The 21,435-nt window shown below is 56.6% G+C and overlaps 1 protein-coding gene across 3 annotated transcripts in view, besides 7 other annotated features; it reads right to left on the bottom strand.

Annotated features, from left to right (window-relative positions):
• KCNJ12 (potassium inwardly rectifying channel subfamily J member 12) overlaps positions 1-21,435 on the bottom strand; it is a 43,514-nt gene that overhangs the window by 7,552 nt on the left and 14,527 nt on the right. For 2 of the 3 annotated variants that reach the window (NM_021012.5, XM_005256625.6), the window contains exon 2: positions 3,679-3,800. The gene's annotated coding sequence lies outside the window, so the exon portion shown is untranslated. Of the gene's footprint in view, positions 1-3,678; positions 3,801-5,462; positions 5,755-21,435 lie in introns of those variants that run through there. The other variant, XM_011523831.3, reaches the window with a different exon arrangement.
• Positions 614-1,573: an enhancer, noted in NCBI's record as "H3K4me1 hESC enhancer chr17:21314058-21315017 (GRCh37/hg19 assembly coordinates)". NCBI's record gives its function as "activates a minimal SCP1, AML or CMV promoter by ChIP-STARR-seq in naive H9 embryonic stem cells {active_cell/tissue: H9 hESC(naive)}" and the evidence as "EXISTENCE:reporter gene assay evidence [ECO:0000049][PMID:30033119]".
• Positions 1,574-2,534: an enhancer, noted in NCBI's record as "H3K4me1 hESC enhancer chr17:21313097-21314057 (GRCh37/hg19 assembly coordinates)". NCBI's record gives its function as "activates a minimal SCP1, AML or CMV promoter by ChIP-STARR-seq in naive H9 embryonic stem cells {active_cell/tissue: H9 hESC(naive)}" and the evidence as "EXISTENCE:reporter gene assay evidence [ECO:0000049][PMID:30033119]".
• Positions 6,673-7,173: an enhancer, noted in NCBI's record as "H3K4me1 hESC enhancer chr17:21308458-21308958 (GRCh37/hg19 assembly coordinates)". NCBI's record gives its function as "activates a minimal SCP1, AML or CMV promoter by ChIP-STARR-seq in naive H9 embryonic stem cells {active_cell/tissue: H9 hESC(naive)}" and the evidence as "EXISTENCE:reporter gene assay evidence [ECO:0000049][PMID:30033119]".
• Positions 7,581-8,080: an enhancer, noted in NCBI's record as "H3K4me1 hESC enhancer chr17:21307551-21308050 (GRCh37/hg19 assembly coordinates)". NCBI's record gives its function as "activates a minimal SCP1, AML or CMV promoter by ChIP-STARR-seq in naive H9 embryonic stem cells {active_cell/tissue: H9 hESC(naive)}" and the evidence as "EXISTENCE:reporter gene assay evidence [ECO:0000049][PMID:30033119]".
• Positions 10,689-11,666: an enhancer, noted in NCBI's record as "H3K4me1 hESC enhancer chr17:21303965-21304942 (GRCh37/hg19 assembly coordinates)". NCBI's record gives its function as "activates a minimal SCP1, AML or CMV promoter by ChIP-STARR-seq in naive H9 embryonic stem cells {active_cell/tissue: H9 hESC(naive)}" and the evidence as "EXISTENCE:reporter gene assay evidence [ECO:0000049][PMID:30033119]".
• Positions 11,667-12,644: an enhancer, noted in NCBI's record as "H3K4me1 hESC enhancer chr17:21302987-21303964 (GRCh37/hg19 assembly coordinates)". NCBI's record gives its function as "activates a minimal SCP1, AML or CMV promoter by ChIP-STARR-seq in primed H9 embryonic stem cells {active_cell/tissue: H9 hESC(primed)}" and the evidence as "EXISTENCE:reporter gene assay evidence [ECO:0000049][PMID:30033119]".
• Positions 14,393-14,992: an enhancer, noted in NCBI's record as "H3K4me1 hESC enhancer chr17:21300639-21301238 (GRCh37/hg19 assembly coordinates)". NCBI's record gives its function as "activates a minimal SCP1, AML or CMV promoter by ChIP-STARR-seq in primed H9 embryonic stem cells {active_cell/tissue: H9 hESC(primed)}" and the evidence as "EXISTENCE:reporter gene assay evidence [ECO:0000049][PMID:30033119]".

Genomic DNA, 21,435 nt, shown 5'->3' with positions numbered 1-21,435 from the left:
TCCTGGCATCTCTGCCAGGGCTGGGCACCGCAGACCTGCCCAGATGGTGTCATACAGGCTTGGAAACCCCCACTTCTGTCGACGTTCCTCTCTGCGTGGTTTTACCACACAGAGAGCATCAACAAGGTCAAGTTCATGCCCCACTCCCTCATTTCTCAGAGCCAAAAACTGACAAAGACACCTGTCCCAGGACCCCTGGAAACTGAGCAGAAGAGAGAGTTGGAGCCCAGAATGTCAGTCCTCAGCCTCACACAGCCCTGCTCTGCCGTGTGTGCGTGTGTGTGTGTGTGAGAGAGAGAGAGAGAGAAACCCTCCCCAGGGGTGCTGGGAGCCCCCTCACTGGGCACTTGGTGAATACAGCACCACAAAGACAGACCCAGAAGGGGACCCTGGCATAGAAACCCTAGCACCACAAGCTAGACAATGTCTCAAGAACACTCCTGCGTAAACACAGGTGTGGCAAGATGTTACACAACCATGCGGCCTTCAAGGTCGCAATATAAGAAATATAGGACAATATCCTCCACCAGGGACACACAGGCCTTTTTGGCTCTTGCTCAATGGGGTGCATACAGTGAAATCAGACAAGACATGAAATCAGAGAAACTGTTTTGCTGGAAGAGGCCTTAGCAAGCAAGAAGGCTGGCTCCCCATTTCACAGATGGGAGAACCAAGTCCAAAAAGAAAAAGAGACTTGTCCCAGGTCACAAAGCAATTCAAGGGCCAAGACAAGGTGCTCACTACTAAAGGTAGGACCGTTTTCCGCAGACACCCAGGTTGGCCTGCCAGGGTCCCAGGGTCGCCGGGAGGGGAATGGGAGAGGGGCGCTGGGGTACACTACCTGAGCTAGACAAGGCGGTTTCAACACCAAGGGGCAGTGAAGCAAACCCAGGAGGGAGAGAGCAGGCAGTGGGGAGAGAGCACGGGCCCGGCAGACCCCCGGAGATCCCTGCTTTCCTGCTGGCCACAGTGCCTACAGACGCAGCCTCCCAGCGACCAGTCCACTTGAAGAACAGACCAGGACCTGGGCTGGGAGCTTTTAGAGAGGATGCCAGACGGCAGCTGCCACGTGACCTAAGGGTGGGGTCCAGGAGTCACCGGGAGGTGCTTCCGGATGGAACTGGATGCCCCATGCCCACTGCCCTGAGGCCCTGGGCTTCTCAGGTTTCGGTGACATCCGGGAGGAGCTCAGGGCAAGGCCTGGACCCACATTCCCAGACACCAAGAAAGCACTGACCGGAAGGGAGAGTGCAGGCGCCTGCATCACCCAGGGTAAGACATAGGGACTCGGAGGGGGAGGCGCCAACAGCCCCCATCCCCCATGCAGAGACTGTTCAGCTAGCTGGGGCGCCTCACGAGGCACGAACACAGCACTCAGTATCTATCAAGTGCTTACTACCTGCCACGTGCTCTTCTAAGAGCTTTAATAAACTGATTCATTTAATCCCTTCCATCACACTGTGATTATTATCCCCATTTTCCAGATGAGCAGACGGAAGCCTAGGAAGATTGAGTCACTGTGATGGTTACACAGCCTTTCAGGAGTGAAGCTTCCAGGCTGGGCTGTAGGGGTGAAACCAGTGCCCCACAACACCAAGACCTGAGGCCTGACTGTGTGCGTGGCACTGCAATCCTTTTGGTCCCAAGCCCCTGCAGTCCCAGGTGGTGATGAGATGTAGACTGCTGCAAATCGGCACTCAAAAGCACAGGTTCAAGGGCCCTCACCAGCACTCCAACCCACGGCCACTCACCCTCATTCGGAGATGGGGCACTCTACCTCATGATCAAGCCTCACCGTTGGAAGACCCCTCAGAGATCACTCAATGCAGGGAAGGCTGGCGCACGCCTCCCCGCCCAAGGTGCCTGCTCCAGCCTCGCCCAGGCAAGCACCATTCCTCAGCCACAGAGCTTCATCCACTGCATCCAGAGCAGCTCAGAATCTTTCCTAATCCAGGCACCATTCATCAGATGCAGCACTGGGGCCTGGAAAGCCCAGCCCTTCCTTTGCAGATGGGGAGACTGAGGCTCTGAGCCGGTGCCCTTGCTCCGTCACATAGGGTGTGAGAGGCAGGGCTGGCTGCAGGGTTAGGGGCTCTCCCTCATGGCAGGCCCTGCCCAGGGTATAGGACCACATCAAGGCTAGGCTGGGCACAGGCAGCCAGGAGGGGCACTCCTGGGGGACACTGCCAGAGCCAGGAGTGGGAGGCAAAGACGTGTTGGGCACCCTGGGGGCAGTGAGGAAGCTTGGCTGGATGGGGGAGAACCCAGGCTGGTGTGGAGGGGAGAGGGAGAGTGGTGGGTGGCATTCCTATGTCTCATAATCTGGGAAGAAGATGATGACCTCTTACACCCAATCCCCTTTCCAGGCCAAACCTCCCCACCAGAGACTCAGCTGACCTCTGTCCACGAAGCTAACCCATGGCCCTCAAACATTTGGGTCCAATGCCATGACGGCTTCCTATGCCAAATGCAGGCTAGGCCTGAGGAGAGAGGCAGCAGCAACACATCACTGTGTGCAGGGCATGGGGTGGTGGGTGCCCCACTGATATCCTAGGCCCTTACCACCTCAGGCCCACCTGTCTCAATTCCTACACCAACCACAGTGTCTCTCTGCCCAAAAGCTCTCTCTAGCCATGGGCACGCTCTGCCATTCAGAGGGCAGGCTGAGGAGCTGATGCTGCCAGGACAGCTTTCAGTCAGTGACTGATGGGAGCAGGTGGCTGGGCCCCAGCAAGCTGCCCCTGGGAGGGGCACTGCTTCCCTGGCCTCCCCAGCGGGAGTCGGCTCCAGTGCCCCAGCAGTAACTGTATCAATGACATGCCCTTTATCACTTCCTTCTCTTTCTCACCTCATTTCCTTATTTCCTGGGATCACCTCCCAGGAAACTACTTGCGCTGGAACCTTTGTCTCCTGGGCCTTCCTCATAGGGTCTCCAGTAGCCTCTCCACAGCAAAGGCTCTTGAACCCTGGCCTCCCCTCCTGGATGCCCCACACCAAGTCTCCTCCTGCTCTTCCTCCTCCTCCTTCTGCCCCACAATACTGAGCCGCCTTCTCCTCTGCCTCCTCCACCTCCTCCTCCTCCCCTGGCCCCCTTTAGGATCCTCTAGCACTGGGCTTTTCCCGTTCAGGCCAGAAGCTACTTCCCACCTTGTGTGAGAGTTGATCTTGCCCAGGCCCCATCTCTGACCAAGCTCAGAGGCCTAGAGAGGCTGATGCAGGTATAGCAAAGAGGGGCACCCAGGAAATGCGCTCCAGCCAGATGAAGGGTGAAGGACTAAGCAGCTGAATGGGATGGATGAGGAGATGGGTGGAACAGTGATTGAATCAACAGGTGGGTGGTCAGGCAGATGGGTGGATAAATCGGGTTGACAGATGGGTGGGTGGACGATAGGGGTGACCAGATAGATGGACTGGCTAGGTGGGTGGAAGGATGGGTGGATGGATGGTTGAGCAGATGAATGGGTGGGGGAATGGGTGAGGAACGGATGGCATGGGCGAGGGGATGGATGGAGGGGTGGAGGCATGGGTGGGTGGATGGAAGGCTGAGCAGATAAATGGGTGGGGGAATGGGTGATGAAAGGATGGCATGGTGGGTGGAGGGGTGAAGGATGTACAGATGAGAGTCTGGTGGAAGGAATGCCTAGATGCACAAGAGCATGTCAATGACTTCACTCTTACCTCTTGAGTTCTATCTTCTATGTAATGGTGCTGAGTGGGCACGGTACTGTCTTCAAGGCTGAATTAGTAGTGGCTGCCATTTCCCAGGCACCAACTGGAAAGGATCCAGTCACTAGAACATCCTAAAGTTAAAAGAGTAAAGCCAAGTTACTGCAGGCGGTGCTGCTCTTCTCAGAGGGGCTCACAAGTAAGACATAACCACATGAAACCACATTTCTGCTCACTTCCCCAGGGCCCCACAGGAGGTGGAAGGGCCTCTGGCCTGCACCTTTGATGCCCCACACCTTCACAGCATAGCAACCATCCAGAACCAGAGAAGAGCAGAACAAGATGGGGTGTCAGAGAAAAATGACCGCTGACAATTATTGAGTGCCTATTGCATGCCAGACACTATAGTAGGCATTTTACATACATCATCTCACATAATCCTCACAATTACACAAGGTTGGAACTATTGTTGTTACTATTCCAGAGAAGTAGTTAATGTGGTAATTCTCCCACTGTCACAAAGGAATTCAGGCCCTCAGCCTGTACTCCCAGCCACCACCTGCAGAGCCTTCCCAACGCCAACCTTGGAGCCAGTTGTGAATAGCTGGGTGGGTGGATGAATGAATGGGTGGATGGATGGATGGATGGATGGATGGATGATGGATGGGTGGGTGGATAAATGAATGCAGGGATGAATGGGTAGGTGGATGGATAAATGGATGAGTGGGTAGATGGATGAATGAATACATGGGTGGGTGGATGGATGGATGGGTGAATGAGTGGTTGGGTGTGAGGGTGGATGGCTGTATGGAGGAAGGATGGATGAGTGGATGAATGGGTGAATGGATGAGTGGATGAATGGATAATAGGATGGATGGATGGATGGATGGATGGATGAATGGATGGATGGATGGATGGTTGGATAGATGGATGGATAAGTGTGAAAGTAGATGATTGGATGGATGGATGAACAGAAGGGTAGATGGGTGGGTGACTGAGTGGATGGGTAGATGAATGAATGGAGGGATAGGTGGGTGAATGGGTGGATGGATGGATGGATGGGTGGATGGATGGATGGGTAATGGGTGGGTGGATGGATGGATAGACGAATGGGATGGATGGATGGGCAGATGATTGGGTGGATGGATGGGTGAGTGAATGAGTGGATGGGTGAGTGAAGAAGTGAATGGATAGAGGGATGGCTGGGTGGATGGGTGGGTATATGGTTGAGTGGGTGGATGAACAGATTAATGGATGAATGGGTGATGGGTGCATGGATGGATGGATGGATGGAATGTTGGGTGATGGATGGGTGGAGTGAATGAGTGGATGAGTGGATGGGTGGATAGATGGACAGGTGGATGAGTGTATGGGTGGGTAGAGAAATGAATGGATAGAGGGATGGAAGGGTGGATGGATGGATAGATGGGTGAATGGATGGGTGGGTGGATGGGTGGGTAGATGGATAGATGGATGGGTGGATGGGTGTGAGGGTGGGTGATGAGTGGGTAGATGGATGGATAGGGTGTTTGGGCGAGTAGGATAGATGACTAGATGGATGAGCAGGTGGGCACATGGCTAACTACGTGGATGGGCACACATCAGTAATTTGCCAGAGATTTGCCTTGGGTACACATACATCCTACATGGTCCCTGCAATCCCAAAGATGCAATTTCCCCACCTGTCAAAGGGATCCCCCTGCCTTCCTATCCAGTGTGCCGTGAGAATCAGAGAAGAGGTTGGTGGGAAGGGGCTCTGAGGATCTCCACGGTGAGCCACCTGACATGCTTCTCACCTCCGCACCTCCCAGCCAGGGAGTTCATGGGGCCTGCCCTTTCCAAGGTTACAGCCAAGGCTGGTTTGTCACACTGGTTTTTCTGGCTGGAATTAAGGCAAATGTTGGTAAGTCACCCCCACCTCATTAGCCTCCTGGGACAGGTGACAGTGGTTTAGAGGCACACAGACCTAGATTCAAATCCCAGCTCTGCCCCTCATAAGCTGTGTGACCTTGAGTGAGTCACTTCCCCTCTCTCAGCTTGTTCTGAAATGGGATGGCCTGCCTGGTCTCTAGTGGCCCTTCAGTCCCTCTTCACCCTCCAAGTCCCCCAATCCCCAGCCCCTTCTTCCCCATCCCTCATCATTCTGGGAGCAGAAGCCACAGGCCTACACTTTGCCTCTCTCAGCCATTCCATCCTCAAAACTGATGGGGACACAGAGGTTCAGAGATGGATGGGTGGATGGATGGACAGGTGGATGAGCTGCAGAGGTTCAGAGAGGTTCTGTCACAAGCCAACATCACACAGCTGGGGACCTCCACGGCAGGGACTTGGGTCCACCCCCTTCCCCGAGTGGGCCAACACTGTGCAAGCCCTGCATGCTTGGCAGCTGGCTGCAGTCATCCCGATGCTCACAGCCCTGCCTTGGAGGAGGGACAATTCTCCCCTCTGGACAGATAGGAAAACTGAGGCTGAGAGAAGCTAAGTCACCTGCCCAGTCACCTGGAGCTGGAACTCTGAGCAGCGAAGGTCGGATATTGCCACAGGGCCATGGGAAGCCAAGCAGGGGTGGGGGCCAGAAGTGTGGGCAGCAGCCCCTATCCACGTCCTGCTGGTCACCTGGCTTGCAGCAGGCTCTCCCAACCTCGTCCCTCACTCCCTACTACCTGGAAGGGGCATTCCCCAGACCACAAATCCAGCTGGATTTGTTCTTATCTAGGAGGAAGGCAAAATTAGCTCTATTCTACACAGGGGTACTGAGACGTAGAGCAGAGAAGAGACTTTCCTGAAGTCACAGTGCAGGGCAGGACCCTGCAAACAGGAGCCAGCCTTCCACATGCCCTGGCCAGAGCTCCCGCCACCTGCAGGGGCCACAGCAGCCGCCATGTGAGCTCACCCCGCCAAGTCCCACAAATGCTTCCCGGGGTTATGGTCACAATCCTGGATGGGGAGGTGGGCTGCAGGGGCAGTGCTTCCCCATGACCACGACTGAGGGCCAACAGGCCGGGCTGGCCCACAGCGTCCCGCAGGGGAGGGCAGGGCCTGGGCTGAGGCTGGGGCTGAAATCCCCCACGGAACAGGGCAAGGCACTTCCCCTTCCTGAGGCTCAGCTTCCTCTGAAAAACGAGGCTGGTGTCGCCTGCCAGGCCTCTCAGAGGGTGTGCCATGAAATTGAAGGTGGTGACGAAGCTGCAGTCCGGGCACTGGGCCTCGCCCCAGCGGGTCTCTGGGAGGTGGCAGCTGTCACCCTCCCTGGAGAGGCCTGGCAGCCCCCCAGCTCACTGGGGCCTGAAACTCCCCATCTGCAAAATGAGGAGACCCCACACACCTCGGGAGACTGTCACAAGGGTAAGCCAAGCCCTGGCTTCAGTATCTGTCCCACAGAGACGATGCAGCAGTGTGGGTCCTGCAGGCGTTCACTGTGACCGGCGTTCCTGACACCACGTGGGCACTGAAAGCAGAAACAGGCTTCCCAACAGGACGGAAAGCTGGCTGTGCCCAAGCCTCCCTGTGGCCTGCTGGATGTCCTCAGAAGCCCCCCTGGCCCGCAAGGAGCCACAAAACGCACAAGGGCAGGATCTGCCTCGCTGTTCCATGCTCGGGATGCGCCCGGCCCACAGAGGATGCTCAGAAAGTGGAAGCTGCAGGAACCTTGAGTGACACTGACCCCTCACATTCCGTGGCGTAAAGATGGGGGCTGGACATATGGACCCCAGAAAGAGGCTGCACCAAGCGGCCAGAAAAGGCAAACGTCCACCCTTAAGCCCTGAGGTGAGGCCAGGTCAGAAGGTTCTGGCCCCACAGAGTGGACGACAGTCACACCAAACACCAGGGAATGTTTCTGACGGTATTTCTATCTTGAGAACATCCTTCTTCACAGAGGGTGGGGGCAGGAGGGAGAGAGGGTGTCCTTGGCCCCAGGCCCCTGGGAGAAGCAGAGAACAGAGGCCCTACAGTAGTGCCCTCTGCTGGGGTGGCCATCGCAGACACTGCCCCATCCCTGGGCTCCGTTAAGTCCTAGGAACAGGGGAGACCTGGAGGGTCTTGGGGCCCTTCTAGGACTCCTGGCTCTGCCCCAACTTGCTGTGTGACCTGGAGCAGGGCTCTGTCCCTCTCTGGGTCTCCCTCTTCAAGTCCTCACTGGGCACCGAGGACTTGAAGAGGAAGCATTGGGCGCCTGCCTTCATGGGGCACCCTGCCTCACAGGGCAGACGGTGAGAAGTCAGCAGTCACAACTCGCTGGGCCCTCGGGAGCCCAGGCGAGGTGTCTAACCCAGTGGCAGGAGGGGTGCTTCCTAGAGGAGTATCTGCCAGTGGGGAGGCAGCAGCGAGCAGCAGGGGAGAGAACCCCGCCTGAGACCAACCATAGCACAGTGACACAGCTAGGAGCACCAGAGTCCTGCAGTCTTGGTGCAGATTCCAGCTTCACTCTCCAGGCACTAGGCCTTGGGCAAGACCCACCCTGACTGTGTGCAAACCAGGGGGCTGGCCCAGCTACTCCACAGAAGCCCTGCCAGCCCTCCATTCCAGGATCTAAACTATTCGGGGTTTGTGGGGAAGGTGTGAAGAGATGGGCACAGCCTTGCCACCATCATATCAGGGAAGCTCAGCGTGTGCAGGCACAGAGGCCGAGGCATCACCCCAGGAGGCCTCGGATGTCATATTAATGAGCCTAGACTTGATCCCAAAGGCAATGGGGAGCCCAAGGGCCATAAGAGAGCTTGAAACTATAAGAGTTCTGGGGCAACAAGGCATGAATTCAAATCCTGTCTCCATCCCTTCCTGTGTGGCCTTGGGCAAGCCACATAACCTCTCTGAACCGCAGTTTTCTCACCTATAAAATGGAACTAATCATAGCACCTATCTCATGTGGTTGCAATGGGGTTTCCATGAGTGAATACATGGAGACTGGCCAGCTGGGAACTCCCTGTCCTCCCACCCTCTCCCTTCATCACAGCTATGAGCCTCTGCCTCACCCTGCAGAGAGTCACAGGCCCCTTTAGGGCCTCAGCTGGACCCCACTCCAAGCAAGAAGGAATGATGGGCAGGAACCCCAGCGGGAGGCACAGGTCAGCAAAGGCACCCTGGCTTCTGATTTTCATACAGCTGTAAATTTTCCAGCTTCAACTTAATTTGAGTCTCAGACATGTCCTGAGCAGCCAGCATGTGCACAGGAGAGCAAGGACACAAGGTAAGGACACAAGAAGCATCCTGGGACCAGAAAGACCACCAAAGGAAAGGCTGGGAAATTTGCCAACATAAAAATATGTATGATGTTGTCAAAACCAATCGTAAGTAAAATAAAAGAAAAATAATGTGTTTGTTTAAATCGGACCCATGTGCTTAATATATAAAGAGTTCTTATGAATCAATAAGAAAAAAGGACACAGTAGGAATGAGCAGAGAGCTAGGGTTGGGCTTCCAATGTCTCTGGAATGTCCCACACCTCAGAGCCTCAGCCAGAGCTCGCCCCTCACCATGAAATGCCTTTCTCTGCCTCTCAGAATGCAATGCATCCTCCAAGCTCAAAGGATGCCTCCTCCATGAAGTCTTCCATGATTTCCCCAAGTCCCTTGCTCCTCCGTGAGTACTCCTAGCATGTTTCTTGAGCCCCTAGGACCCAGTACTTGGCTTCTGCTCACTGCATCACAGAAGTCCCAGGTGGGGTGGCCCAAGCTTCTTTGAGAGGAGGAAATGAGGCACAGAGAGGAGCCATGCCCAAGGTCACCAGTCTGAGCCAGAGCTGGGCCTAGCACCCAGGTGTCCTGCCTCAGTCCCTCTGTAATCCAGCCACCAACCCCTCAGTGAGCCCTCCAGGCCTGCCTTGCTCCCAGCAAGGAAGTCCCCAGCTTGAGGGGTGCATTTATTTCTTCACAAAGGGCCAGCCAGGATTAGGGCCTCAGCCCCCCATAACCTGTCTGCTCTCTGTAGGGGAGCACGTTACAGTTGCTTTCTTAGCTTCCTTCTTTTATTTTGTAAATCTGGCCTTATTTCAGGTACAGAAGATTCCCTGGGAGGGCCTGACAGACTCTCAGGGCTCTGGGGTTCACCCTACCATGGGCAGGAGGCTGACCTCAGAGATGTAGAGTCCAGGAAAATAGGGTAGGCCTTCCAGAAAGCCTATCGCTCTGCCCCAGGCCCCATTTACAGTTCAGATCTGTGAGCGCGCCACGGCCTGGCACTGCTGCCAGAATCACACTCAGCATTGACTCACACGCTCAGCGGCGTCTGCCCAGCCTCTACTATGTGCTGACATCATGCCTGGGGGCCCACATGCTGCTGGGGCAAGACAGACCAAAAAAAAACAGGCTGAGGAAAAAAAAAGAACTTGAGTAAATCCAGAGACGGGTGGAGACTATTCCAGAGGTCAGGGAAGACTGCCTGAGTAGGTGACATCTGGAGAGCTAGTGAGAAGAGAATGAGGGAAGAGGGTACTCCTTCAAGTGGGAACTGTAGCCACAAAGGCCTTGAGGCTGAGGCCAGGGGAGGGCAGCGGGGCTGAAGTGAGTGTGCCAGGGAGGTGGGGGAAAGGGAGGCAGGGACAGCAGATGGATGGCGAGACAGAAGCACACAGCTCAGAAAGGGAGGGGACTTGGCCGAGGACGCGCAGCACGCTGGGCAGATGGGAGCACCTCTTCGTCGATGGCGCTCAGAGGAAGCTGCATGCCAGACACTACCCAAGGCCCTCTCTTCCCCATTCTCCCTCAAACTCCTATGCATCCTTCAACACCCCTTTCCAAGCCCCACCCCTTGTGCTTCCCTCTGTCCTGGACCAGACCATGCTGGGTGCAGCCGGTCTTTCTGAGTCCACCAGGCCAAGGGTCTCCTGAGGGTAGAACCTGGGTCTGACTGCGTTGAGGGGCCTCAGCACAGAACCAGGTCCCTGGGGGAAGTTAAGGGATTGGGAACTAGGATTCTGTCCCTGTGCCCCAAGAGTGCTCTAGAGTCCTTAAAGTCTGAATCACAAGACGGCAGGCAGCACTGCAGCCCACCCAAGGCCACTCCAGCTTCAGCTCACCATGGGACCACCCCTTCCCTGTCCCCTCTGGGCCTCAGTTTCCCCATTTGTCAAATGAGAGGCCCCATAGCTTGGGAACAGGGCGTCTCCACCTTCCTCCCTTATGAACTGCTCACAGCAGGGTGGCCCCTGCAGGAAGAAAGCATGGCTGTCACTCTCTGACCCCTGCTGAGCTCTGAGCTCGGCCCACAGGGCAGGAAATGTCAGCTTTCTGCCAGGCCAGCAGGAGGGTTCCAGCCGAGCCTGGGGGTGATGGGAAATCCTCTCTGCTCTATGGCCTTGCTTGGGGACTCACAATGCCTGGCCTGGGCATTTCACACACAACAGCCAGGTGTGAGGGCCTGGGGATGCAGCCAACCCCGACCACTTCTCCCCTACCATGGCTGGGAAACTAAAGCTCAGGTCACAGTCGGGATGCCCTTCCTTGGTCCCCAGACCCCCAGGAGGGCTGCCCAAGGACCCTGGGGGCAAGGCAAGGGGGCCGGGCAAAGCAGGGGCAGGCTTTGCAGTCCCCGAGACAGTGGAGCAGGTTCCCGGAGGTCCTGCCGCAGAGCCCAAGGACAGAAGCCAGGGCTTTGTGAACTTGATGGGGGAAAAATCATCAACTTCCCCGCCTTCAACCTCTCTGTGAAATGTATGCTGGACACACCGAGCCTGGGCTCACCCCAGGCCCTATAGCAATGCAGACCGCTGGAGCTGCACAGCTCTCCTCCCTGCTCCCATGGAGTCAGTAGGACGGCTGCCACCGGGTCTTGCTAGTTAGGGCGCTCATAAGCAACAGCATGCTAATTACTAGATCACACATTTTAAAAGAATGTTTTGATAAGTACTGCAACACTTATTTCTGGTTTCCTCTGTGGCCCTATATGGGTTCTCTCTTGCACTCAAAAGTGTTATTCTGAGAAGGAGGATGTCAAAGGCATCCCTAGCACACGAACAGCTCAGCACGCTGGATCAGAGGGAGAAGGGCTGAGCACCTGCCAGCTCAGGGCCAGGGCCTTGTCGGGAAAGGACAGGGCAGCCTGGCCCCTCGCCCACCCATCCAGCCACTTGTTCATTCCCCGTTCATTCCATAAACAAGTCTTTCCTGAGCACCAAACCCGTTTGAGGCTCTGTGCGGGGTGTAGCATGAAAAGGGTGGTCAGCCCTGTGCCCGGCTCCTCACAGATCGGGGGAGACAGACATTCCAGGAGAAACCGGAGAAACACAGGAGATTCCGGCTACAGGAGGGACTGTGTGACCACCCGGGAGGAGGGAGTCGAGGCCAGCTGAGGGTCAACAGGGCTGGAAACAAGAGCAGAGTCCCCAGCCCAGGACACAAGGCAGGGTGTGAGGAGACAGGAGGGAGGGGCAGGGAAATGAGCTCTGAAGGGGACAGGGTGGGGCAGGCCGCTCAGAGGCCAGGAGCTTGCTCCCCACCCCCAGGTGGCCTTTGCATGTGCAGCCCACCCAGGTGGGGTGGGGAGCCCTTCAGGCCACAGGGAAGGGTCTGGAAGCACTGGCTGCACTTTTTCCTGCACTCCCTCTAGTACTAGGTAGCAGGTGGCTCTGCATGGCCTGATTTCACAGTGAGGAGACTCAGGCACCCCACAGCTAGACGGTAGCGAGCGGGGCCCCACAGAGGCTGTTCTGACCCCATACCGCTTTGCACGGACCTCTTACTGCCACACACGCTTTCCAACCCCAGTAAACTGGGACTGCGCAACTGCTGTGCGTCAGGAACACTCGTCACTGTGACACATGCCACTTCCATTCACACCAGTTTCTTTTGATAGAGGCAAGAAACTGGGGCTCGGATAGGATGAGTGCTGTGCCTAGGGACACGCAGCCAGTCCATGGCAAAGCTGGGATAGAAATTCAGGACTTCCAGGGCTGTGGAAATAGAGACCTAGGATTTGACCACGCACGTTGGCCCTGGTGTCTCTAGGAGACACCACAGTCACTCCAAGTCTGGCTTGGACCACCTCCTCCAGGAAGCCTTCCCTGACTATGTGGCTCTTGCCTGCCTCTCTCCCATTCCTTTGGTGGCAGCTAATTGGTGCTGTGAGGAGGCAGGGGCTATGGGACCCAGGAGTGGTGGGGTAGGGCCCTGGTGTCTGGCCCCTGTTTGGCCCCTGCTGTGCTGTACTGACCTGGAGCTATGGTCTTTCTCTGAGCTGGGATCTAGCAGGACATTTGTCCCAGAGCAGAGGTGTGACCAGCAATGTCTGCTCAGAAAGCAGGTGGGTGGCCACTGAGATGGCCAGGAAATGCTTTCTCATGCCTGGAGCAGGAAGAAAGGACCTATTTTGTGCATCTCTTGACAACCCCAGGAGACACGCTGGGGACTATCCTTGCCCCAAGACGAAGAAATAAGCTCAGAGAGGGAATCCAGAGCCCAAAGGCCACATGATCGGCCAGCATCTGGGGGCCAGGCATCCTGGGAAGGGCGCATGCACACAGTCGCTGGGGTGCAAGGCCAGAAGCAGGCATGGGGGACGGCAGCTTCGCTCCATGGGGTCTGAAGATGAATGCAGCCGCTTCCACCTCCAGCCTCCTGCCAGCATCTGCAGGGCTTGGGGTGGGTAGTGCAGCAATGCTGAGGGGGTGCACAAATTCTCACCTCCTAGGGTGGGTCCCAGCTCCTGCCAGGGCTCCACCCCTAAGGCACACATTTATGGATTCATCCTTGCCTCAGTTTCCACATCTGTGGAATGGGCCTAATCATTCTGCCTCCCTGGTCCAGCAGATGTTAGTCTATGCACAGTACCCAGAACAGGTCCAGCATACAGTGCTATGTGCTATGCACACCACACACATGATACATGCTAGCACATGCCTGCTCTCACACCACAGCTCTGTAAACGCATCTTTGCTGGCAACATGTCACATGTGTACACCGATACACGACCTAGGATAAGGGTGTGTTCTATTCTAGTCCTTTCCCCAGAAACAGATCTTGAGTCAAGGATTTGGGAGTAGGGAGTTTACTTTGCAGGTGACAGCGGGAAGCACCAGGAAGGGAGTGGGGACATGAGATGGGGACAGGACGGCAGCCAAAAATGACTGCATAGATGAGCAGGTCACCGCTGAGGATACCTGGGCTCCAGCCTCCTGGGCATAGAACACGCCTCAGAGTTATCCCCAGCAAGGAAGCCCATTGGAGGGATGGCCCAGCATGCTGTGGGCAGTGGGGGCCGTAGAGGTCTGGCCTGGCCTCGGGATGCTGCTGGCCACGGGGGCTGCCAGGCAGGGGAGGACGCATTCATTCCCTCGGCTGCACATGCAGAAGGCTCCAGTGGCCAGAGGAGGCACTGGGCAGGGCCTCGGGTACCAGAGAAGTGTGGGGTATGACCAGGGAGCTCCTGCATGGGCACACATGGGTGTGTGCAGTCCACCTGCGTGTGCCTCCAGCATGCACACAGACTCGGGCCTGCGTTCTTCCTCAAACGATGAATCCATGCCCACATTTGTGTGGGGCTATCGACCTGGGGATCTCTGTGTGTCTGCTCTTGTACACATATGTACACAGGCATGGACACACACACACACACACACACACACACATACACACACGTCCAGGGCTATGTCCCTCACCCAGCCCTGGCAGTGGCTGCAGGGTGGCAGGGATGGTCTGGTCACCTTGGCAACGGGGCAAGAGAAGCTAAGTCTGGGACAGCCTTGGTTCAAAGGCAAAAAACAAAACCAAACCACTGAGCACAAAGAGGCTGAAAGAAGAAAAGGAGAAGGGAGGGGTGAGAGGGGGCAAGTCTCGGCCCCCAGGCTCTGCTCCTGGTCCACTTGCTAATCCCTGCTGTGCGCTGTCAGCCCCAGCTGAGGGCTGCCAGGGGAGCTGGAGGCCGCAGGGCAGAGTATGAGGCCCTGAGTCAGGCCGCACTGGCTGATTCTCCGGCTTGGGGTCCTTTCCCAGAGTCGTGGGGGCAGGCATCCCAGACATCAGGCACTCTGCAAACCAGTGGACTCTGGGCCACACCCTCACAAAGTCATCCTCTCTGGACAATTAACACACTAATTGCACACGCTGCCCGTGGCCAGTGCATTAGCCCAGCTCCCACGATGATTTATTCAGGAGCTCCCATCTCCTTCCCGTCCCCAGGCCAGCTCATCAGCCTCTGCCGGGCGGGAGGACGACCCACAGACGCTTCCCTAGCCTTGCTCGAAAACATCGCGTGCTATTTATATTTCATCAGACAAGAGTGCACGGGGATGAAACCGCCGGTGATCCGCTCCCCACAGGCAGCCGGGCGCTGAAGCCCCACACGGCAGCGATCTCAGGCAAGAGAAGCTGAGGCCTCCTGCGTTCTTTGGGGTGGCCCTTGCTCGAGAGCCTGCAGCAGGAGCTGTGATCGCAGCTACAGGGATGTTACCTTGACTGCCTCACTGCGCCCTGAGAAAGCTCTGCAGGGAAGAGTCTGCTATTATCCCCATTGGACGGATGAGGAAACTAAGCTCCAGAGAAATGAAGTTTCTTACCCAAGGCCAAACAGCCTATAAGAGGCAGAGCTGGGGAACAAGCCCATGCCTTTACTGCCAAGCATCTGCCCTCCCAAATTCAGTCCCCAAGCATCCCTATGAGGATCTCTGTTTCACATATGAGGAAACTGAGGCCCAGAGAGCTAAACACACTTGCCCAGGGTCACACAGCTAGGAATGGAGGCCAGGCAGATGACCTTGATGGACAGTGTGCTCCAATCTGTGCCCTGGGAGACCCCCTTGAACGATGACCCCCGGCCAGAGCCTCCCAAACACCTGCGTGCATCCAGGAAGCCTCCCTGGGAGGCTCTGCACAGTCCGTCCCCACGGCTACCTGAGGCCATAGCCACGGTGGGCCCCAAACCTGATGCCTTAGCCCCACCCCTGGATGCTGGGTGGAGGCCCAGCTTGGCCGGCTCTGGTGACTCCAGGGGTCCAGTGGTTAGGACAGTGACCACTGTGAAGAGCCCTTGAATCACATCCTCTTGTCGTCATCCTCACAGAGGAGGGGCCCCTCACCCCAACCAAGACGGCCCTCCCCATCAACACGGGGCTGATACCCACACCGGGCATCCCATAACCACTGGCTCCTGAGACCGGTGCGAACCAAGCTGGCTAGAACCCCGGCCAGGCACGGGGATGTCTCTCTGAGCCTCGGTGTCCTCATTTGTCAGATGGGCACTGACAGCCCCTTGGAGGACTGGGATGGGCATGCCAGGGCTTGCTGCCTGGCAGGACCTGTGCACAGCAAAGCACCAGGCAAGTAGAAGCTGTGGTGGTCATCAACGTCGTCTGCAAAGTGGGAAGCAGGGCTTTGCGGCGAGCTGGCTCGGTGACTTCCTGGCTGTGTCATCTCAGATTCCCGGCTGCCCTTCTCTGAGCCTCAGTTTCCCTGCCTGTTAGCTGAGGATTTCTCAAGGTTGTAGGAAAAGCAAGGAGTCCAGGTGCATGTAGCACTCAGCTCTAGCCTCAGCAAGTTCTCGAGAGCCCAGCCAGCCCCTCACCCCCATGCCAACCCCAAGGCCAGGGCAGCTGGCACCTTGGAATGACCCCTGGCCCCTGCCTGCGCCCGGGGGCCCAGGGCAGCCACCATAACAAGCCTGGCAGGGACCCAGGTACAGCAGGGCTGTGGCCCAGCCGAGAAGCCCGAGGACATCCTGGGCTGGCTGCAGAGGCTCAGAGCCCAGAGAGGGCAGGCCATGCCTGAGCCACACAGCAGGGCAGGCAGGGCACAGCAGGACATGCTCTGGAAATGGCCCTGCCCACCAAGTAGAGGGGCTCCAGCCACTCCTCTGCCTCAGCTGAACCCCAAATACTCTTCCCCTCTCCCCAGGCCAGTGCACAACCTCTACCTGACCTCTGCCACTCAGTCGTGGTAAGACCTTGGGCAGGTCATTTCACCTCTCTGGCATCAGTTTCCCTATCTGTAACATGGGGGCAATATGATGTGATTGTCATGAGGATTAATGACTTCATAAAGAGCTTAGAGCCATGCTTGGCATAGAGAAATATTATATCACTATCCCTGTTATCATCACGTCCATTATTTCCTTTTTTTCTTTTTTCTTTCTTTTTTTTTTTTTTTTTTTTTTTTTTGAGAAGAAGTCTCGCTCTGGAGTGTAGTGGTGCGATCTCGGCTCACTGCAACGTCCGCATCCCGGGTGCAAGCAACTCTCCTGCCTCAGCCTCCCAGAGGTGGGTTTCACTATGCCCGGCTAATTTTTGTATTTTTAGTAGAGACGAGGTTTTGCCATGTCAGCCAGGTTGCTCTCGAACTCCTGGCCTCGAGTGATCCACCTGCTTTGGCCTCCCAAAATGCTGGGATTACAGGCATGAGTCACTGTGCGCCGTTTTTTTTTTTTTTTTTTTTTCTTTAGGATCTTGCTGTGTCGCCTAGGCTGGAGTGCAGTGGCTTGATCAGAGCTCACTGTAGCCTTGAACTCCTGGGCTCAGGTGATCCTCCCTCCTCAGCCTCCCGGGTAGCTAGGACTACAGGCATGCTCCAGCAAACCCAGCTAATGTTTCATTTTTGTAGAGATGGGTCTCACTATATTGCCCCGGCTGGTCTTGAACTTCCGGCCTCAAGTAATCCTCCTGCCTCAGCCTCCCAAAGTGCTGGGATTACAGGTGTGAGCCACCTTGCCCAGGCATCATCAACACTTCTGTGCTAGGCACTGGGTTAAAGAAGGAAGCAGCCCATGGATCCCATGTGGTCATGGTCTGTGTCCAGGCCTGCCACCCTCAGGGGTCCCTCAGCACTTCCAGGGACCCGTTTGCTGTGGCCCCAGCAGGGCCTGGAAAGAATTTCTGGAACTAAGATGAACAATTTCTAATGGTTTACCCCTGGCAACACTGAACTCCCAGCAGCTCCCACCTCCAACGCCTTACGCCAGGCCGGTCCCCTCCCAGGGTGCCTATGCCAGGGTTTCTCTCTGCCACAGCCCTGACCACACCAGGCAGTCTCTGTCTTCACCTTCCCCACCCTCAGCCTCGAGTTGAGCCTCCAGTCCTAATTCCTCTCCAGAATCAGTGCATCACCCAGCACAGGGCAGGCACAGAGCAGGGGCCCTGTGTCTGTTTCCAGGACAGCAACAGTAATCTATAATGAGAGCTTAGGTTTATTGAGCACTTACTATGTGTCAGACTTAGCCCCTGAGTACCATACAGTCATGCCTCGATTAACGATGGAATACATGCTGAGAAATGTGTCATCAGGCAGTTTCATCACTGAGCAAACATCATAGAGAGACTTACACAAAGCTAGATGGTACAGCCTACTGCACACCCAGGTTGTGTGATGGAGCCTGTTGCTCCTAGGCAGCAAACCTGTACAGCAAGTACTGTACTGAACACTGTAGGCAGCTGAAACACAATGGTAAGCATTTGTGTATCTATACATAGTTAAACATTGAAAAAGTACAGCAAAAATACAGTATAAAAGATAAAAAGTGGTACACCTGTATAGGGCAGCCCCTTGATGATCTTATGGGATCACTCTCATACACACCCTCCATCACTGACTGAAATGTCATTGACACGTGACGAGATCCCCACGAGATAGATATTATAATTTTACAGATGAGTACACTGAGGCCAAGGGAGGTAGCCTTCACTGGAGACTTCAGGTAGACCACAGCCTAGACCAAACCCCTTATTACTCCAACCTGTCCTCCTTTGCCTGGGTCCTATGGGTGGGGCATAAGAGGCCAGCACTAGAGACCAGCAGTGCCCTCAGTGGCACCCTTGGCCCCAAACTTAGACAGGCCACACACTCCATGGGCTCAAATGAGTGGCCCTGGGAGGATGCACTCAGCCTCAGGCCACTGGCCAGGTGTTTGCCCTACTGCTCAGGGTGGAGGCGGGCGGTGAAGGCCTGGGGGCACGGGGCTGGTGTCAAACACATGGGATTGAATGGTGCCTTCCAGGCCCCTGTGGTTTCATCTGTAAAGCGGGCCATGAGGGGACTAAGTGAGACAATTCCAGCGCCTGGCATGGAACAGATGCTCAGCAACTGTGGAACCATGAGGTGGAGCCCCAGGACTCAGGGCCTGCCAGGTGTGCTGCCCTCCGGCCTCCACCATCTGCTGGCAGCTCAACCCGCACGGGGGGGTCTGAGGCTCCCAGAGGGGCATTACAGGGTTAGCTGGATAAATGGCCAGCAGGCAGTGCTGGCTTCGTAAGCAAGAGTGGAGACATACCAGAGGCAGAGGGGAGGGCGCACGCAGAAGCCAGGGGCTGTAGAGGCTCTAGCAGTGGGGCAGGGTGTGCAGGTCAGCCCCAGGGTGCAACCAGCCTCAGGGACAAACTCAGACTGTTTGAGGGCCTGAAGCAGGGCCTCTGAGGGCTGCCCCATCCGCCAGAGCCAGACCCCTCTACTGTGGCTCAAAAAAGCACCATGGGTCCCAGAAAATTCCCTCCACCTCTGAGCCTCAGCGTCCCCATCTGTAAAATGGGGACAAGCACAGAAAGCGATGAGGCAGCACCCAAAACTCCTAAGCAGCACAAGCTTCTGACAAACGTCCTTTCCAGTAGGGGAGGGCAGGGGAGGGCAAGGGAGAGCCGGTACGGCCGTGCAGGGAGGCACATGGACTTAAAATTCCAGCGCTGGCCTGGGAACAGCCTCGGCCCCTCCCCAGAGAGTAGGGGACTCGGAAAGAAGGGGCAGAAGTTAGGGGCCCATCCTGTTCCCAGACCCAGGGACACTATCCACATCTTCCTGCCCTAGCCTCCCTAACCCTCACCATCTGTGCATCTCCACACACACCCCACCTGCCCTGCCTATGAAATTCAGACACAGCTATATGGCCTATGCCTGCAGGCACACCATCAAGGTTGCCCCGACCGTGCTGCCCACACCCACCTTCAGGCCTTCCACCTGTCTCCACCATCCACCTCCCTGTCTATACTGCCCAAATGCTGTGGCCACCATCATGGACCACAAATGTCTGCCATTTAGACAACCCATCTACACAGCCAGTCTCAGGCCTCATTCTCTGAACCCACTCGAGGAGGATGGGGGTCCATGAAATCCCCCCACTACAGAACCAACACTCCCAGGCCAAGGGAGCCAGGTGGCTTGGAGCCCCTCCAAGGCCAGTGCCGGGTGCAGCCCTGGTGGGGCTCCTGCTGGTCCTAAGTGCCAACAAGATGATTAAGTAGTGGGGACCAGCTGGGCCCCTGCCCCCTGCCTTGAGCAGCTGCAGCCTCATGGGGCCAGAGGCAGAGGGCCCCTGTTGGGGGGCGTGTCCTTGTCTGCCTTTGCTCCTTGCTGCGGTGGCCAGACTCGTCCTTCCCTCGGGGCCCAGCCCACTGAACTGGGTTCTCTGAGCAAACACAGCCAGCTTCCATGACCCACAAGTGAGCACACACTGAGCGCCTACTATGTGCCTGGACCTCTGGAAGCCCTTCACACAGCACCTCCGGTAGGTCCAGTGGTCCAGTGGTCCAGTGGTGCTGTGTGCAGAGGGTAGGGCAGCTTCTTATTCCCACTCACACCTGGGGACACGAAGGCTCAGGAAGGCTCTGCCTATGTGACCACCTCCCTCGAAGTCACTGCAGCTCAGGAGAGAGGGAAGGAAGTTGTCCAGGAGCCCAAAGTCCCCACCACCACACTCAGCATAAGTCAGCCGGTTCTACCTCAACCACAGCCCTAGGAGGCAAGACGGATTCCTGTAGCCACTTTCAGATGAGGAGCCCCAGCCTGTAGCCTGGAGCCATGCAACGCCCCACAGCTGGGAGACCACCTTGCCAGACATGACCCCACACTTGGCCCTCCCACCCACTGGCCAAGGTAGGCCTGGTGGCAGGGGAGGTCCTCAGCCTGTCCCCCTTCTAGTGACGAGGAGACTGGGGTGGGGGGACCACAGGCTCGAGGTAGATGGGAGCCCAGTTCTGACCATGTAGGATCCAGGTGCCCACAGACCCCAAGGGAGATGTCACCTGGGCAGACCGGGGAAGAAAGGCCTGGGCTAGACATGAACCTGGGGCTGCAGGAGGCCAGATGTGCAGGGGAGCGAGTGTGCAGGGGAAGATGCCTGCCCTCCAAAGAAGAAGTGGAGGAGGAGGAGGAGGAAGAGGGCTGGGCGGAGCGCCGCAAGGCAGTTGTTCCCAGAGAGCACAGGTTCAGACAAACCAGGTGACTGGTAACCCTGTCCTAAACGTTTCCAAAGCATCACAGGGGATGGCCATGAGGAGAAGCTGGGGAGCAGCAGGACAGTCTTGTGAGGAGGTCTGTGGTCCGGGGGTACAGCAAGAACGCAGGCTGGAGGGGTACAGGAAGGGTGCCCTGGAGTCAGAGCCTCTTCCAAAGGTAACAGCCCCTCCAGAGTTTGGCGGGGCTGCCGCAGGCCCAGCCATTTCACCTCTAGGTACATGGAGAGATCTGGAAACCGGCATCCAAGGGAACCTGTGTTCCATGTCCACGGCAGCACCGTTCACAGGTGCCAAAGGCTGAGCAGCCATGACAAACGGGCAGGCAGAGTGTGTCCATCCATACCCAGGCATCCCTCAGCCCTGGCAAGGAAGGCGGTGCTGATGCACAGCACACCAGGGCCGAGCCTGGAGGACATGATGGAGATGGGGAAGCCAGCCACAGAAGGCTACCCGTGCAGGGCCCCACGCACACACGACATCCAGATTAGGAAGATCCACAGCTACAGCAAGCGGTTTAGTGGCTGCCAGGGGATGGTGCAGGGACTGGCAGTGACTACCAATGGGACAGGGCTTCCTTTCTGCATGGTGGAAGGCTTTGGAACTAGACAGAGGTGATGGCTGCACGACAG

This window comes from Homo sapiens, chromosome 17 (genome assembly GCF_000001405.40).
Source record: "Homo sapiens chromosome 17, GRCh38.p14 Primary Assembly".
NCBI lineage: Eukaryota > Metazoa > Chordata > Mammalia > Primates > Hominidae > Homo > Homo sapiens.
This window is presented reverse-complemented; position numbering and strand designations above follow the sequence as displayed.